The sequence below is a fragment of the Homo sapiens genome, chromosome 5 (genome assembly GCF_000001405.40).
Source record: "Homo sapiens chromosome 5, GRCh38.p14 Primary Assembly".
NCBI lineage: Eukaryota > Metazoa > Chordata > Mammalia > Primates > Hominidae > Homo > Homo sapiens.
The window spans coordinates 57,099,131-57,118,624 of record NC_000005.10 but is presented as its reverse complement, the minus strand read 5'-3'; positions in this window follow the sequence as shown (position 1 = coordinate 57,118,624).

Here is a 19,494-nt window from a genome sequence, read left to right as displayed (position 1 = left end):
GGTGTGATTCACCATGCTCTGCCTATTTGGCAGTTATATTTCTCATTGTAAATTAACACCTTGGATACTGGTTTTAATATCTATTGTTATCAAGTTATAAAAAGACAGTACACCTAGCTATGAAAGAAAGATACAATCATCTATGAAAGACAGGCGTGCCTATCTGCACTGTACAGATCCTTTCTGTGGCTAGTGTACATTTCATGGACACTTTTGTACATTTCATGGACAATGAAGAAAGGTGGAGTTTTTGGACCTGAAGACTCAACTCTGGATTGTGGTGAATACAGCAAAGTTCTGCAATTTTGTGTGTCCTTTCCTCAGGTAGCATCTCTCTGTCTCACTGCATATTTCTTTTTGTTTTGTTTTTGAGACAGGGTCTTGCTCTGTTGCCCAGGCAGGAGTGCAGTGGCATGATCATAGCTCACTGCAGCCTCTAACGCCTGGGCTCAAGGGATCCTCCCACCTCAGCCTCCTGAGTAGCTGGGACTACAGAGACACATCAACACCCAGCAAATTAAAAAAAAATTTTTTTTTAGAGACAAGGTCTCACTATGTCAGTCTCAAACTCCTGGCCTCATGTAATCCTCCCTCCTCAGCCTCCCAAAGTGTTAGGATTACAGCATCAGACTGCACCCAGTCCCACTGAAAATTTCTTATAAACGTGGCAAGGATCTTTCATGCATCATAAATGTGAGTTAAATGAGTTAAGACCTTTATACAAAGATGATGTCAAAGGAAAGGAGGAGCCTCCTGCCCATCACAATATCAGGGCAAGAACAAAGGCTTTGTAGGCCAAGAAAGCCACACTACAAGGCAGCCACAGCCTCCTGAGGAAGGCCCATGAGTCACCCTCCAGGGGTGTAGCACACTGAGACTCCAAAGGGCCCTAGAAAATGTGTTTTCAGGAGGAACAAGTGAAACCACAGTGCCATCATTAAGTTCCCCTTGACCTCAAAGAAGGTGGAGAAAACAACAGACTGGTTTTTACTGTAGATGCCAAGGCCAACAAGCCTCAAAACAGGCAGTCTTTGAGAAAAACTGTATGATATTGACATGGTGCGTACCCTGATGGAGGAAAGCCTAATGGAGGCAAGAAGGCATATACTGGACTGGCCCCTGAGTACTGGGACTCGTTACTGCCAACAAAATTGGAATCATCTAAAACTGAATTCAGGCCAGGCGCGGTGGCTCACGTCTGTAATCCTAGCACTTTGTGGGGACAAAGCGGGTAGATTGCTTGAGTCCAAGAGTTCAAGACCGGCCTGAGCAGCATGGTGAAACTCCATCTCTACAAAAAATGCAATAATTATCTGGACATGGTGGCATGCACCTGTAGTCAGGAGGCTGAGGCAGGAGGTTCCCATGAGCCCAGGAAGCAGAGGTTGCAGTGATCCGATTTTGCGTCACTGCACTCCAGCCTGAATGATAGAGTGAGACCTCATCTCAAAAACAAATAAACAGACAAAAAAAAAAAAAAAACCTTGGTAGCCTGAGTGTGACATGACTGTACAGCGCCACGAGACTGGAAGGAGCTATACAGACAGGAACAAGGGCTGACTCCACTGTAGCCTGTGTGCAGAGATGGTCAATGACCAGAGGACCCTACCCCATCCCTGCTCCTCTGACTCTGTGTGAGTTTCCTTTGATGGCACATCCCTAAGTGGGGCCTAAACAATGACTGAGGTTCTTTTTTTTTGGAGACTTTTTTTTCTGTTGCCCAGGCTGGAGTGCAATGGCATGATCTTGGCTCACTGCAACCTCTGCCTCCTGGGTTCAAGCAATTCTTGTGCCTCAGCCTCCCAAGTAGCTGGGACTACTATAGGCATGCATCACCAAAGCCTGGCTACTAATTTTTGTATTTTTAGTAGAGACAGGGTTTCACCATGTTAGCCAGGCTGGTCTCAAACACCTGGCCTCAGGTGATCTGCCTGCCTTGGCCTCCCAAAGTGCTGGGATTACAAGGCATAAGCCACTGCACCCAGCCTGAGGTTCATTTTCTATCAATGCAAGAGGATAGGACTTGAAGAAGAAATTAAATTTATTTATAGGAAATCATAGATTGTGACATATCTTTTAGGTGCGACTTTATGGACTGTTACACAAAGGCGTCTAACACCTCCATTATCAGGCCTGCGTCCTACCTTACACCTTCTTCTCCGCTACTGTCCACCCACAGCCCAACTGGACTTAGTCACTCTGCATTCTTTCATGACAGAGCTCTCAGGGGCAGAACGTAATCTATTCCTATCTGTACCCTCGCATTCCTCTCAGGGCTTGCTTCCTCTTCCCTCCTTGGGAATGCCCTTCTGCACTCTCATTTCTGCCTGTCAAAATTGAATCACCTTTTGAAGAAACCCAATTCAAAGCCCCTTCTGTGGGCTGAATTGTATTCCCTTCAACACAATTCATGTGTTGAAGTTCTAAACCCCAGTACCTCAGAATGCGACTCTATGTGGAGATAGATAGGAAATTGAAAGTGGTAATTATGTTAAAATGAGGTCATGAGGGTAGGCCCTAATCCAATATGACTGGTGTCTTTAGAAGAAGAGGAGATCTGGACACAGACAGATATAGAAAGAAGACCATGGAAAGACCCTGGGAGAAGAGAGGCCTCAGAAGAAACAGATCCTGCCAACATCTTGTTCTCAGGCGTGGCCTCAAGAATTCTGTTGTTTAAATGGCCCAGTCTATGGTACTTTGTTGTGGGGACCCTAGCAAATAGGACCTTCTTCACTTCTGTTCTTCAGACGCGCTTTGCCTTGCCTGTTCTGTTGCTCTTTGTGCAGCAGCCTTGCACGACACTTAGTTGCAAACACAGTCATCCCTTTGGATCTGTGGGCGATTGGTTCCTGAAACCCCCATTGATACCCAAACCCTCAGCTGGCCCTTGGTATCCTTGGGTTCTGATCTGTGGACAGGAGCACCCACTGCCAGCTTCCTTTCAGCTTAGGGATGAGGCTCATCTATGACCTTTGCTTCTGCCATAGTCTCAGGATAATTCAAGATCGGCTGAGAAAATGACTGATACCTTGACTGAAATGATGAAACGTGCTGTGGCTTAGGAGATGCAGTGGTATAACTTTTCTTAGAGTTTGGAAACAAAATGAGTTACAATTAACTTGTTTCTGTGGTGGACTATGTCACGCACCACCTAGATCCCCAGTAGGAATGAAAGACTTATTCCCCTACCTCCCAGGAATGCTGCAGGAAGACAGCACTCAGCTGTCTTTGGTGATCCCCTGGACTTGAAGAACATTGTCTGGTTGATCTAAGATCACCTGTCCTTTCAGGGCTGGCCTGTGGGAGTATAAAGGCTTGGCTTCCTATCCCCAACTCTGAGCAATTCTGAAGAGCCATCAACATGAAGGACAACCCTTTGTGGTCCTGAGGTCTTTGCTGGGCCAGCATGGGAGCTAGACTTCTTCCTAGTCCTGCTTCCTCCCCTCCTTCCTCATGTGTTGATCCTAAGAGCACTGCCTAATAAAGGCCTTGCATGTTAACTTCTGTCAGAGCCCATTTCTGGGAAACCCAACCCAGAAAGGGTTTCATATCAATTAATTAGTATTTTCTTGTAAATTTATGGCTGTTCATACAGACAACAGAAGGTATGTGTCAAATCCATGTTAATTATGTTTATTTTGTAATATAAATTCCATGAAGGAATCAAAGGGAAGAAAAAATGATTGCATAGGGTGGGAAAATAGGTAGTAATTACTTAATTGTAACAGAACATAAATTAATGTTATTAATTTAAAAAGAAGTTTATTGCTATTTCAGCTACATTAAATAACCTGGTGAGCCAGGCGTGCTGGCACACGCCTATAGTTCCAGCTATTCAGGAGGCTAAGGTGGGAGGATCACTTAAGCCCAGAAGGTTGAGGCCAGTATGGGCAACATAGCAAGACCCTGTCTCAGTAAGTAAGTAAGTAAGTAAATAAATAAATACATACATAATTTGGTGTGCTAGCCATTATTTCAATAAATTAACTTTGTGCCAGCAAAGATTTGAAGACTGGTCTCGCTTTTGTGCTGTTTTCTCTCACCTCAATTTACTTTCTTTTTTTTAATTTTTTTTTTGAGACGGAGTCTCGCCCTGTCACCCAGGCTGGAGTACAATGGCATGATCTTGGCTCACTGCAACCTCCGCCTCCCGGGTTCAAGAGATTGTCCTGCTTCAGCCTCCCGAGTAGCTAGGATTACAAGGTGTACGCCACCATGCCCGGCTAATTTGTTGTATCTTTAGTAGAGATGGGGTTTCACCATGTTGGCCAGGCTGGTCTTGAACTGACCTCGTGATCCGCCTACCTTGGCCTCCCGAAAGTGCTGGGACTACAGGCATGAGCCACTGCACCTGGCCCTCACCTCAGTTTTCTTCAGCAGCTCTTTGCCATGAAGGTTTGGGTTTCTGTTTGTTACTAGAAGCATCCAGACCAAACATCTTCCATGAGGGAGAAACAAAAAGCTGAAGTGAATCCCTAAATGTGCTTGATAAAAATAAGACAGTGAGGCACATCTGTATCAAGCAGGTGGACAACCAAGATACTGGCTGACACTTTCATTTTGTTTGCTTTTGACTGTGAGCAGTAACATTCAAGAGAACTGGAAGGTGGCCCCTTAGGCTGCCAGCAAGCAGGGAAGTTTTGCAGGTCAGGACGGGAGGCTGCAGAGATATAGAAGAAGAGGGGAGAGGACAAGAAAGGTAAGTGTGGTCCATTGAAAAGTCAAGAGCACAGATCCTGGATCAGATGCTTGGATTCAAAATCCTTGCTTGCTTTCTAGCTGTGTGTCCTTGAAAAAGTTCACTTAACTATTCTGAACTTCAGTTTTCTCAAGCATAAAATAGGATTAATGATAATTCTTACCCCATAGATTTGTCATGGTGATATTACATGTTAAGCATCTGGAACAATGCCTGACAATACAATTGCTTAATAAATGTTAGGCCTGATCCTCTACACTAGGAATTAAAGGTTGGGCTTTGTGCCCACAAACCAACCCTACCCTCAATGCCAGGAATGGCCACAGTGCATTGGAAGCAGCATTAACAAGAGCAAAAGAAGATAGTCTATCTTTTATTATATTATTTAAGTCAATGGACATTAGTTAGCACCCAGTAAAAAGGTATCTTATAGGGACACAAAGATGATTCAGAGGTCTACGCCCCAAGAGCCTATTGTCAGATACAGACTACATGGTCATCTGGCTCCTGTTGAATGGAGACCCACCCTTTGGGAGTCACAGTGAAGTGTCAGGGTGACACTTCGGTGGCCAGTGGTCACCTTTGCAGAAAGCCCTCACTGCCTGCAGCCTCTGGCACAGGGCAAAGAGCACAAGTTTTAGAGTAAGATCAGCCTGACTTTGAATCCGGGTCTGCTCTGGACAAGTCATTGAGTCCTGCTGAGCCTCTACTACCCTCATCTCTAAAACAGAATGATACTTACCTTATAAGGTTGCTGAAACAATTGAGATGAGGCGGACTAAAATGCTTTGCACAAAGACTCAGCATTAATTCGCTGGACAAATATTTATAGACTACCCACTATGTTTCAGGTACTGTGCCAGGTGGTAGGAAAAACCTGGTTTCTAGTGTCCCTGGAAAGAAAAAATGTTCAGAAAGATGGAACTATATAAGATCTAGTAAGTTGGGTCAGTAGGGTGACTACTTTACAATAATTTATTGTACATTTCAAAATAGCTAGGAGAGAAAAAGTAAAATGGTTCTAGCCTAGGCAGGATGTGGTGGCACATGACTGTAGTTCTAGCTACTCAGGAGGCTGAGGCAGGAGGATTGTTTGAGCCCAGGTTACAGTGAACTATGACTGCACCACTGCATTCTAGCCTGAGTGACAGAGCAAGACCCTGTCTCCAAATAAATAAGTAAATAAAATGGTTCCAGCATAAAGACAAATATTTAAGGTAACGGATATTCCAAGTACACTGCTTTGATATTTACAAACTGTATGAACGTATTAAATTATCACATATACTTTGAAACTATGTATTTGTATTATGCATCAATTAAAAAAAGAAAATAAAGTAGGAAAAAGCAAAAAGAGGAAACTATGTCCAGAAAGTCTTCTTCATAATATTTTTGAGTGCTAGCTGTTGTAAAACACTTGACATATCAAGTTGAATGCTTTATACAGGTTAACTCATTTCATCCTCGTGTGATGGATTAGACACTATTATCCTCTATGCCTCCACTTTACAGGGGGAATAGGCAGACAGGAACTGAGACGGGTAGGCAGTGTTAAGATCACAAGGAACCTCATAACACAGGTCATGCAAAAACTGTGAAGCCTGTCCTGGATAGCTTGTGTTTGCCCCTCCCAGTCCTCTCTCCACCCTGCTCTGCCCTGCTCAAGGCCCCAGGAGGCAGGCCTGTAAGGACTGTATCAAAGGCTGCTGCACCCTGCCTTCCACTGAGGTTCACCCACTGATTATCTCTGCAGAGGTCAGAGGGAGGAACGTGAGGCCAGGGTATTGATTCCCCTGGCTCCCTCTCTGTCAGGTTGCCTGGAGCTGACTGTGTCCCAACTGAAAGCCACTTCCCTTCTACAGGAGGCCAAGTCCACATGACTCTTCCCTCTGGGTTTTAGTTAATTCTCCCTCCCTTCAAATCTTTACACTTGGGAGAGCTAAAATCCAGGCTGCTACCAGCAGTGGATCACTGTAGCATCCCTGTGGGATCCCTACATCTACAACATTAAATAGTACATTTGTGAAAAAACCCATACACTTTTTCTTTTTGTTTATTTATTTTATTATTATTATTTTAAAGATGAGGGTCTCCCTATGTTGCCCAGAGTCATCTCAAACTCCTGGACTCAAGTAATCAACCTGCCTCAGCCTCCCAAAGTGCTGGCATTACAGGCATGAGCGACCGCGCCTGGCCCCTAAACACATACACTTTTTAATCCATTTCCACTGCCATTTCCCCCTCTCAAGCTGTCCTTGGACTAGATGACCGGATAACATTCCAATTTGTTTTTCTGCATCCACTTTTTTTGAGGGGGAAGAGGGCGGACGGAAGGGCATAACATTAAAATGGTTTTATTCTTCTCTATTGCTTTTTTGTTGTCGGTTGTGGGTGATGGCGGTGGGGGTGAAACTTGCTTTTTTTTCCCTCAATATCTTGGGTAGATTTCACAGCTCTACCTTCAGTTATTAAAATTCAGTTAGCATTAATCCCAAATTTTATTTATGTTTTAATAATTTATTAAAAATTCTTTTTATAATGAAAAAATTCAAATATACACATACCAAAGTAGAAACACAATAATATAATAACTTTCTCCCTACACCTAATTACCCTGCTTTGATAATTGTTAAAGTTGTTTTTTTTTTGAGATGGAGTCTCCTCTGTTGCCCCAGCTGGAGTGCAGTGGCATGATCTTGGCTCACTGCAACCTCTGCCTCCCAGGTTCAAGCAATTCTCCTGTCTCAGCCTCCCCAGTAACTGGAACTACAGGCACACACCACCATGCCTGGCTAATTTTTGTATTTTTAGTAGAGATGGGGTTTCACCATATTGGTCAGGCTGGTCCTGAACTCCTGGCCTTAGGTGATCCACCCACCTTGGCCTCCCAAAGTGCTAGTATTACAGGCGTGAGCCACCACACCCAGCCAATTGCTAACTTTTTTATTTTTTTTTCAGACAGGGTCTTGCTCTGTTGCCAAGGCTGGAATGCAGTGGCATGATCACAGCTCACTGCAGCCTTGAGCTGTTGGGCTCAAGCAATCTTCCCACCTTGGCCTCCTAAAGTGCTAGGTTTACAGGCATGAACCACTGCACCCAGCCAATTGTTGACATTTTGCCAGCTATTCTACCTTTCTTTTTCCTTTTCTCTAAATTATTTTAAACCAAATCTCAAATGTCATGTCATTTTACCTGTAAATTCTTCAGTGTGTATGTAACTAACATATAAAGTCAGTGTTTTTTTTTAAAAAAAAAAAAACAAATTCCAGTGCCATTACCACACCTAAGAGAACAATTATTATTATTATTATTGTTATTTTTGAGACAGAGTCTCGTTCTGTCACCCAGGCTGGAGTATAATGGTGCAATCTCGGCTCACTGCAACCTCTGCCTCCCAGGTTCAAGCAATTTTCCTGCCTCAGCCTCCTGAGTAGCTGGGATTACAGGTGTCCACCACTGTGCCCAGCTAATTTTTGTACTTTTAGTAGAGACAGGGTTTCACCTGGCCAGGCTGGTCTCAAACTCCTAACCTCAGGTGATCCATCCGCCTCGGCCTCCCAAAGTGCTGGGATTACAGGCGTGAGTCACCACGCCCGGCCCAAATATTTCTTTTCTTTTTTTCTTTCTTTCTTTTTTTCCTTTGAGACAGAATCTCCCTCTGTCGCCAGGCTAGAGTGCAGTGGTGCGATCGTGGCTCACTGCAACCTCCACCTCCTGGGTTCAAGCGATTCTCCTGCCTCAGCCTCCCGAGTAGCTGGGATTACAGGCACATGCCACCATGCCCGGCTAATTTTTTCTTCCCAGGGACACTAGAAACCAGGTTTTTCCTACCATCTGGCACAGTACCTGAAACATAGTGGCTAGTCAAAAAATATTTGTCCAGTGAATTAACGCTGAGTCTTTGTGCTAAGCATTTTAGTCTGCCTCATCTCAATTGTTATTATTGTTTTTGAGATGGAGCCTCGTTCTGTCACCAAGGCTGGAGTGCAGTGACACAATCTCAGCTCACTGCAACCTCCACCTCCTGGGTTCAAGCAATTCTCCTGTCTCAGCCTCCTGAGTAGCTGGGATTATAGGTGCCCACCTCTGCGCCCAGCTAATTTTTGTGCTTTTAGTAGAGACAGGGTTTCGCCATGTTGGCCAGGCTGGTCTTGAACTCCTGACCTCAGCTGATCCACCTGTCTCAGCCTCCCAAAGTGCTGGGATTACAGGCATGAGACACTGCACCAGCCCGTTATTTCTTTTTCTTTTCTTTTCTTTTTTTTTTTTTTTTTTTGAGATGGAGTCTGTTTCTGTCACCAGGCATGAACCACCGCTCCCAGCCCCAATTCTTTTTCTTTCTTTCTTTCTTTGTTTGTTTCTTTTTCTTTCTTTCTTTCGTTTTCTTTCCTTCCTTCCTTCCTTCCTTCCTTCCTTCCTTCCTTCCTTCCTTCCTTCCTTCTCTCTCTCTTTCTTTCTTTTTTTTTGACAGAGTCTTGCTCTGTTGCCCAGGCTGGAATGCAATGGCGCGATCTCGGCTCACCACAACCTCTGCCTCCTGGGTTCAAGTGATTCTCCTGTCTCAGCCTCTCGAGTAGCTGGGATTACAGGCATGCGCCACCACTCCCGGCTAATTTTGTATTTTTAGTAGAGACTGGGTTCCTCCATGTTAATCAGGCTGGTCTCGAACTCCTGATCTCAGGTGATCCACCCGCCTCGGCCTCCCAAAGTGCTGGGATTACAGGTATGAGACACCACGCCTGGCCTCCAATTATTTCTTAATATCACCTTATACCCAACAGATGTTCACATTTGCCTGATTGTGTCAAAATATCTTTTGCAGTTTGTTTACATCAGGATCCAAATAATATCCAATCACTTCCTTTTTAAACATTCTTCTTCTGGCTAGGTGCAGTGGCATATTTCTGTAATCCCAGCACTTTGGGAAGCCAAAGCTAGAGGATCACTTGAAGCCAAGAATTTGAGACTAGCCTAGATGACCTAGCAAGACCACATCCCTTACAAAAAAATTATTTTTATTCTCCACCCACCAAACTGGATAGATCTTACTATGTTGTGCAGGATGGTCTCAAACTTCTGGGCTCAAACCTCCTGCCTCAGCTTCCCAAGTAGAAGGGACTACAAGTGCATGCTAGAGGGCCTTGCTCTAAAATTCTTCTTCTTCGTCGTCTTCTTTTTTTTTTTTTTTTTTTTTGAGATGGAGTCTTGCTCTGTCACCCAGGCTGAAGTGCAGTGGTACGATCTTGGCTCCCTGCAACCTCTGCCTCCCGGGTTCAAGCAATTTTTCTGCCTCAGCCTCCTGAGTAGCTGGGATTACAGGTGCCCACCACCACACCCAGCTAATTTTTGTATTTTTAGTGGAGATGGGATTTCACCATGTTGGCCAGGCTGGTCTCAAACTCCTGACCTCGTGATCCACCCACCTCAGCCTCCCAAAGTGCTGGGATTACAGGCATGGGCCGCCGCACCTGGCCTAAAATTCTTAATCTCAGTTAGTTTTTGCAGAAACCAGTTCATTCATCCCATTTAATATCTTGTATCCTGGATTTGGCTGATTGTATCTTTGTGGCATTGTTTAACATGTTCCTCTGGCTCCCATATTTCCTATAAACTGGTAGTTAGATTTATTATCTTGATTAGATTCAAGATGCATCTTTTGGCATAGATGGGGCTATATACTTCCTCTCGTTTATCCACTCTTGATAACCTTCAATCTATTCATATAACAGCCTGCGAATTAAAAAGAACAACAACCCTGTATGTAGATGCTGGGCATAGTGGAGTGCACCTGTAGTCCCAGCTACTAGGGAGGCTGAGACCAGAGGATCTTTGAGGTCAGGAGTTCAAGGCTAGAGTGCACTGTGATTATGCCTCTGGATAGCCACTGCACTCTAGCCTGAGTAACATTGTGAGACCCTGTCTCATTAAAGGAAAAAACAACCTGTATACAAGTCTGGTAGTATCACCACTACCTTATCCATCATACTTAAAAGCCCTTAAATGTGTCCTCTGGCTCTAAATCCAAAGATCAGAATCCTTAGCACAGTTTACTATGCTAAAGACAGGAAGCTGTCTTTCCATTTTCATCTTGTACTACATCAGCTCTGTCCACTCACACTGGCCTTCTCTCCATCCCTCTCAATCATCATGCTCCTTCCTCATACAAAGCTCTAGCACTTGCTAGTCTCTTTGACTGGAACACTCCTCCTTCCTCTCTTTGCCAAATTAACTGCTACTTATCTTTCAGAATTCAGATCACCTTAGTTCTTCATGGAAGACTTCCCTGACTGTGCAGATAAATCTCTCAGTCAGGCCGGGCATGGTGGCTCATGCCTGTAATCCCAGCACTTTGGGAAACCGAGGCTGGTGGATCACCTGAGGTCAGCAGTTCGAGACCAGCCTGGCCAACATGGTAAAACCCCATCTCTACTAAAAATACAAAATTAGCCAGGCATGGTGGCACGTGCTTGTAGTTCCAGCTACTCAGGAGGCTAAGGCACGAGAATCGCTTGAATCAGGGAGGCAGAGCTTGCAGTGAGCCCAGATTGTGCCACTGCACTCCAGCCTGGGCAACAAGAGCAAAAGTCTACCTCAAAAAAAAAAAAAAAAGATAAATAAAAAATAAATCTCTCAGTTGGGATGCTTTTCTCTTTTAACTGCAAGTGATTAAAAAAAATTCAATCAACCAACCAAACAATCAGTCAAACTGGCTTAAGCAGAAAGAGGCGAATTAACTGGCTCATATAACCAAAATGTTTATCGGTTGCTGATATGAACCTGGGTGCATGTATTTAATTAATATCTGCGGGGATCTGTATTTCTTGCCTCTCCTCTTCTCTGTTAGCTTCATCCTCAGGTATCCTCTCCTTGTGTCACGGCCACCAGCAGCTCCAAGTGCATTCTATTAGCTTTGCTGCTCAATTGAAGAAGAATATCTCATTCTTAATGGTGCCAGGAAAATCTCTGCATCTTTCTCATTGGCCTGGCTTGAGTCACATGAAACTTTCTTGAACCAATCACTGTGGTCCTAGGGAAGTAGTACTTTCATTAGCCAGGGCTAAGTCATGTGACCTTCAATGAAGTCAGTGGGGAGAGGCTGTGATTAGTGAGTGGGGCCATGTTAGCTCTACCTGAACTGCATTGTCAGAGAATGAGGAAGGGGTGGTTCCCAAAGGAAAACTGAAGTTTTGTGTTTGAGACAGAGTCTTGCTTTGTTGCCCAGGCTGGAGTGCAGTGGTGCAATCTTGGCTCCTGTGACCTCGAACTCTCGGGCTCAAGCAATCCTCCCACCTCAGCCTCCCGAGTAGCTAGGACCACAGGTGCATGCTACCATACCTGGCTAACTTATAATTTCTTTTTTTTTTAGAGGTGGGGTCTCACTATGTTGCTCAGGCTGGTATTGAACTCCTGGGCTCAAGCAATCCTCCCACCTTGGCCTCCCAAAGTGTTGGAATTACAGGTATGAGCCACTATACCTGGCCAGAAGTGAAGTTTTTAGAAGAGGAAATGTTGGATAGGTATATTCTTTTTCTCCTCCTCCTCCTCCTTCTTCTTCTTTCTTCTTCTTTTTTTTTTGTTAAGAGACAGGTCCTTATTCCTTCCCCCAGGCTGGAGTGTAGTGTTGCAATCATATCTCACTGTGCCTTGCACTCCTGGGCTCAAGTGATTCTCCCACCTCAGCATCCCAAGTAGCTAGAATTACTGGAGACAGGGTCTCACTGTATTACCCAGGCTGTTTTCAAACTCCTGACTTCAAGGGATCCTCCCACCTTGGCCTCCTAAAGTGCTGGGATTATAGGTGTAAGCCACTGTACCTGGCCCCATACTAATACATTCTTATAGCACTATGTACTTTTCCTTCATGGTACAAGTCACAGCTGCAATATTGCACTTACTTGCTTGATGATTTGATTGATGCTTATCTCTTCCATGAGGCTGTAAGCTCCACGAGGAGAAGCATGTTTTTGTTTTACCTTATTATTATATTCCCAGTGGGTGCTTGCCTCCAGTGGGTGCACAATAAACATCTGTTAGCTAAATGAATGAACTGTGTTTTGGATATCTTGTAGGTGTTATGTCATGATGATTTTGGAATTAGACACATTTGAATTTCAATATTGACTCAGTGTTGGCTCTGTCACTAATTTGCTGTTAGACCGGTTAATAATTTGGTCTAAGAGCTACTTTCCACATTTGTGAAGTTGGAATAATACATAGTTCATTGGACTGTTTTGAGGATTTGAGTAGATAATGAATGCAAAAGATCTGGAATAGTACAAGAATTAATAACCAACTGAGATTACTCTTTTACTCTACCTATTACCAGGAAAACTGGTTATCCATCTTCCCATGACAGAATTGCTTTATAGTTTACACCCCCACCCAGACACTCCTTCAACTGTAACTAGGACATACATCCATATTTTCCATTCTATAGGGCTCCACACTCCTACCTATTCCTGGGGAAAACTCAGGCTGGACAATACACCTCATGGAACACCTTTCAGGTGACTGTGTGTGTGTGTGTGTGTGTGTGTGTGTGTGAGAGAGAGAGAGAGAGTGTGTGTGTGTGAGAGAGAGAGAGAGAGAGAGAAACAAGGCTAACGCAATAAGTAACATGCAACAGATGGGGCCAGGTGTGGCTCTTGCCTCTTCCCAGTCACTCATTTTTTTGTATCTTCTCAGCAATCAAGCTAATTAACACAATGGCCTTCCACTCCAGTCTCCACTTCTATTTGCATCCCTGCCCTTGTTTCTTCACAGCCTCATCCAACTGAGGGGCTTCCTTCCATACCCAAACTATCCATTCTACCATCATAAGTAGGGAAATGGATGTGTTCCAGACCAACCTGGGCTGTAAGCACCACAGATACGTCATACAATAGCCAGTGAATGGAAAGAAACATCAGGCTGAGTGATCCAGAAAGGAAGTGCACCTCCACTGATGCTCTGGCTACCTGTCAGCATTCTACTGCAAGGTGATGGAGTTAGACCTCTTGTTGCTCCAAGTGTTTAGGGATCAGTAATTAAAAGAGTACACACCTGAATAGGAAGGGAGCAAATTCCATGAAAAAGTTGGGTGTGGGTGTTGAAATTGAAAAGGAGAAGACACTTTGCGGGGCTGGTATTGTATAAGGAGAAACCTGTGCTGACAGGAAAGGAATTGAAATAGTGGACCACAGGAAAAAAAAAAACAATTGCTATGACTCAGTTTTGGCTTTGAAGGAGTTTACATCTAATCAAAAGGACAGACATGAAAACTAATCAAAAATAAAAAGGAAAATAATACAAATTATAATAAAAGTCTGTATAAGGTCTTAATGTGGGAGAACAACCTCTGCTTGGAGAAGTTAGAAAAAAAAGAGTTGCGCCGGGCGCGGTGGCTCATGCCTGTAATCCCAGCACTTTGCGAGGCCGAGGCGGGCAGATCACGAGGTCAGGAGATCGAGACCATCCTGGCTAACAAGGTGAAACCCCATCTCTACTAAAAATACAAAAAAATTAGCCGGGCGTGGTGGCAGGCGCCTGTAGTCCCAGCTACTCGGGAGGCTGAGGCAGGAGAATGGCGTGAACCTGGGAGGCGGAGCTTGCAGTGAGCCGAGATTGCGCCACTGCACTCCAGCCTGGGCGACAGAGCGAGACTCTGTCTCAAAAAAAAAAAAAAAAAAAAGAATTTATTAAAGGTTTGAAAGATAAAAAGAAATTTGGGATAAACTTGACGCAAGATGATGTTTCTTGCATGCCCTGGGGGGTAAGGGTGATCTGAGTAGAAGCAAAACATAAGCAAATATATGGAGGCATAAAGAAGCATTATGGGTTAAGTGAGGGGTAGGTAATTTAGATATAGCTAAAAATTAAGCTACGTTTGAAGGAATAGTATGCATGTAGGTTGGATAAGGGACAAAAGTACAGGGCCAGATTGTATGGGGCATTGATGTGGCAGCAGGACATTTAGGCTAGGAATTTGGGCTTTGGAGAAATACCACACTGGCTTTGAAACTTAGATGCAGTGTCAGTACAACACATTGTCACTCCTTTCCCACATCTCAGGAGGTGACTCTTTGTAGAGGAAGCTGTCAGAGACCTGAAATTCACAAAACAGGTGTTTTTTCCCTAGACCAACCTCGTATACCTGCCTGTTACTTGGTCTCCAATCACCAGTTCAAAGACTCAGAGCCAGTGAGGTCAGCTCTGATACGGTGTCTTTAAGACGTAAAGCCAGTAACCAGGCATGGTGGCTCATACCTGTAATGCCAGCACTTTGGCAGGCTGAGGTCGGCTGATTGCTTGAGCCCAGGAGTCTGAGATTAGCCTGGGAAATACAGTGAAACTCTATTTCTACAAAAAATACAAAACTTGGCCTAGAGTAGTGGCATGTGCCTGTAGTCCCAGCTACTCTGGAGGCTGAGGTGGAAGGATTGCTTCGGCCCAGAAGGTCAAGGTTACAGTGAGCTGTGATCACACCACTGTATACCAGCCTAGGTAACAGAGCCCAATGGTATCTCAAAAAAAAAAGAAAAGAAAAAAGACATAAAGCCAGTTGACCCTGCATTATAGATTTACCTTTTCAAGACTTCATTTCTTAATGTCAGAGATACAAAAAATTTAGAAATTAGAGGGCTGGGTTGCAGTAAAAAGTGGAAAGCAGGGTTGGGACGGACCATCCAGTGCTTTTGTCTTTATTAGAGTCCCTCTAAACTTTACTTTGATAAGCACTTGCTTTGCAAATCCCTTTGTTCTTCCACAAAACTTTGGCTCATAGAACCCCTTAAACTCTGCATTTAGTGGAGAAAGGGGCTTCTGGAATGCTTTTGACTTTACAACTCATGTTGACCTGACACTAGACCTCAGATCTTCATTGCATTTGCCTTGAATGGGACCTTTGAACACACTGCCTGAAACAGACATTTGGGCACTGAGTAGTCAGTGATTAGTTAATGTTTCACCAAAATTGCCAAATACTTACACATATCTAAGATACCTGTTTCATTTTTCATTTTACTTCTTTCTTATTCTTATTTTTAAAACAACTTTTCTTCGTGAAAACATGAAAGTAAGTGGTTGAGATTATGGCCCATCATCTCTATAGCAAATAATCTTAAGAACAAGGACGTTAGGATAATAACTACAGAGTGATAATGTAACTCAATAAATTTAATGCTGATAAAATACTATTGCCTGGGCCAGGTGTGGTGGCTCATGCCTATAATTCCAACACTTTGAGAGGCCAAGGTGGGAGGAATGCTTGAGCCCAAGAGTTTGAGACCAGCCTGGGCACCAATAGCAAGACTGCTTCATTTTATTTTATTTTTTAATTTTTTATTTCCATAGCTTACTGGGGGAATAGGTGGTGTTCGGTTACATGAGTAAGATCTTTAGTGATTTGTGAGATTTTGGTGCACTCATCACCTGAGCAGTATACACTGCACCCTATTTGTAGTCTTTTATCCTTCACCGCCTTCCCACCCTTGCCCTCTGAGTCCCGAAAGTCCATTGTGTCATTGTTAGGTCTTTGTATCCTCATAGCTTAGCTCCTGCTTATGAAAACACACGACGTTTTGTTTTCAGTTCCTGAGTTACTTCACTTAGAATAATAGTCTCCAGTCTCATCCAGGTCACTGTGAATGCCATTAATCCATTCCTTTTTGTGGCCAAGTAGTATTCCATCATATATATATCACAGTTTCTTCTCTTTCCTTTTTTTTCTTTTTTTTTTTTTTGAGACGGAGTCTCATTCATTTGATTGTGGCCATTCTTGCAAGAGTAAGGTGGTATCGCATTGTGGTTTTGATTTGCATTTCCCTGATCATACATTTTTTCATGTTTTTTGGCCACTTGTATATCTTTTGAGAATTGTCTATTCATGTCCTTAGACCACTTTTTGATGGCTTGTTATTGTTGTTGTTGCTGTTTTTGAGATGGAGTTTAGCTCTTGTTGCCCAGGCTGGAGTGCAATGGTGTGATCTTGGCTCACTGCAACATCTGCCTCCCAGGTTCAAGGGATTCTCCGGCCTCAGCCTCCCGAGTAGCTGGGATTACAGGCACCCACCACCATGCCTGGCTAATTTTGTATTTTTAGTAGAGATGGGTTTTCTCCATGTTGGTCAGGCTGGTCTCAAACTCCCGACCTCAGGTGATCCGTCTGCCTTGGCCTCCCAAAGTGCTGGGATTACAGGTGTGAGCCACTACACCCAGCCAAGATAGTTTGTTTTTTTCTTGTTGATTTGTTTGAGTTCATTGTAGATTCTAGATATTGGTCCTTTGTCAGATGTATAGATTGTAAAGATATTTTCCTACTCTGTAGGTTGTCTGTTTACTCTGCTGATTGTTCCTTTTGCCATGCAAAAGCTCTTTAGTTTAATTAAGTCCCAGCAATTTATCTTTGCTTTTATTTTATTTGCTTTTGGGTTCTTGGTCATGAAATCCTTGCCTAAGACAATGTCTAGAAGGGTTTTTCCAACATTATGTTCTAGAATTTCGATAGTTTCAGGTCTTAGATTTAAGTCCTTAATCCATCTTGAGTTGATTTTTGTGTAAGGTGAGAGATGAGGATCCAGTTTCATTCTCCTACATGTAGCTAGCCAATTATTCCAGCACCATTTGTTGAAAAGGGTGTCCTTTCCCCACTTTATGTTTTTTGGCTTTGTCAAAGATCAGTTGGCTGTAAGTATTCGGGTTTATTTCTGGGTTCTCTATTCTGTTCCATCGATCTATGTGCCTATTTTTATACCAGTAACATGCTGTTTTGGTGACTATGGCCTTATAGTATAGTTTGAAATTAGGCAATGTGATGCTTCCAGATTTGTTCTTTTTGCTTAGTCTTGCTTTGGCTATGTGGGCTTTTTTTTGGTTCCATATGATTTTTAGAATTGTTTTTTCTAATTCTGTGAAGAATGATGATGGTATTTTGATGGGAATTGCATTGAATTTGTAGATTGCTTTTGGCAGTATGGTCATTTTCACAATATTGATTCTACCCATCCATGAGCATGGGATGTGTTTCCATTTGTTTGTGTCATCTATGATTTCTTTCAGCAGTGTTTTGTAGTTTTCCTTGTAGAGGTCTTTCACCTTCTTGATTAGGTATATCCCGAAGTATTTTACTTTATTTTTGCAGCTATTTTAAAAGGGGTTGAGTTCTTGATTTGAGTCTCAGCTTGGTTGCTGTTGGTGTATAGAAGAGCTACTGATTTGTGTACATTAATTTTGTATCCAGAAACTTTGCTGAATTCTTCTTCTTCTTCTTCTTCTTCTTTTTTTTTTTTTTTTTTTTGAGATGGAAGCTCGCTTTGTCACTAGGCTGGAGTGCAGTGGCACGATATCGGCTGACTGCAACCTCTGCCTCCTGAGTTCAAGCGATTCTCCTGCCTCGGCCTCCCGAGTAGCTGGGATTACAGGCACGTGCCACCATGCCCGGGTAATTTTTGTATTTTTAGTAGAGATGGGCTTTCGCCACGTTGGCCAGGATGGTCTCCATCTCTTGATCTCGTGATCCACCCACCTTGGCCTCCCAAAGTGCTGGGATTACAGGAGTGAGCCACCACGCCCAGCCTGCTGAATTCTTTTATCAGTTCTAGGAGCTTTCTGGAGGAGTCTTTAGGGTTTTCTAGGTAAACAATCATATCATCAGTAAACAGTAATGGTTTGACTTCATCTTTACCAATTTGGATGCCCTTTATTTCTTTCTCTTGTCTGATTGCTCTGGTTAGGACTTCCAGTAGTATACTGAAGAGGGATAGTGAGAATGGGCATTCTTGTCTTGTTACAGTTCTCAGAGGGAATGCTTTCAACTTTTCCCCATTCAGTATTATGTTGGCTGTGGGTTTGCCATAGATGGCTTTTATTATATTGAGGTATGTCCCTTTTATACTGATTTTGCTGAAAGTTTTAATCATGAAGGGATGCTGGATTTTGTCAAATGCTTTTTCTGCATCCTTCGAGATGATCATGTGAATTTGGCTTTTAATTCTGTTTATGTGGTGTATCACATTTATTGACTTGCATATGTTAAACCATCCCTGCATCCCTCGTATAAAACCCACTTGATCATGGTGAATTATCCTTTTGATATGTTGTTGGATTCAGTTAGCTAGTATTTTGTTAAGGATTTTACCATCTGTGTTCATCAGGGATATTGGTCCGTAGTTTTCTTTTTTGGTTATGTCCTTTCCTGATTTTGGTATTAGGGTGATACTGGCTTCATAGAATGATTCAGGGAGGGTTCCCTTTTTTTTTGTTTTAATCTTGTGGAATAGTGTCAATAGGATTGGTACCAATTCTTCTTTGAAAGTCTCATAGAATTCTGCTGTAAATCCGTCTGATCCCGGACTTTTTCGTGTTGGTAATTTTTTTTTCTTTTTTTTTTTTTGAGAGGGAGTCTCTCTCTGTTGCCCTGGCTGGAGTGCGGTGACATTATCTCAGCTCAGTGCAACCTCTGCCTCCTGGGTTCAAGCAATTCTCCCACCTCAGCACGTGCCTCCATGCCTGGCTAATTTTTGTATTTTTAGTTGAGACACCATGTTGGCTAGGATGGTCTTGAACTCCTGACCTCGGGTGATCCACCTGTCTCAGCCTCCCAAAATGCTGGGATTATAGACATGAGCCATCATGGCTGGCCTGTTGGTAACTTTTTTTTTTTTTTGAGTCAGAGTTTTGCTCGTTGCCCTGGCTGGAGTGCAATTGTGCGATCTCAGCTCACCACAACCTCTGCCTCCTGGGTTCAAGTGATTCTTCTGCCTCAGCCTCCCAAGTAGCTGGGATTACAGGCATGCACCACCATGCCTGGCTAATTT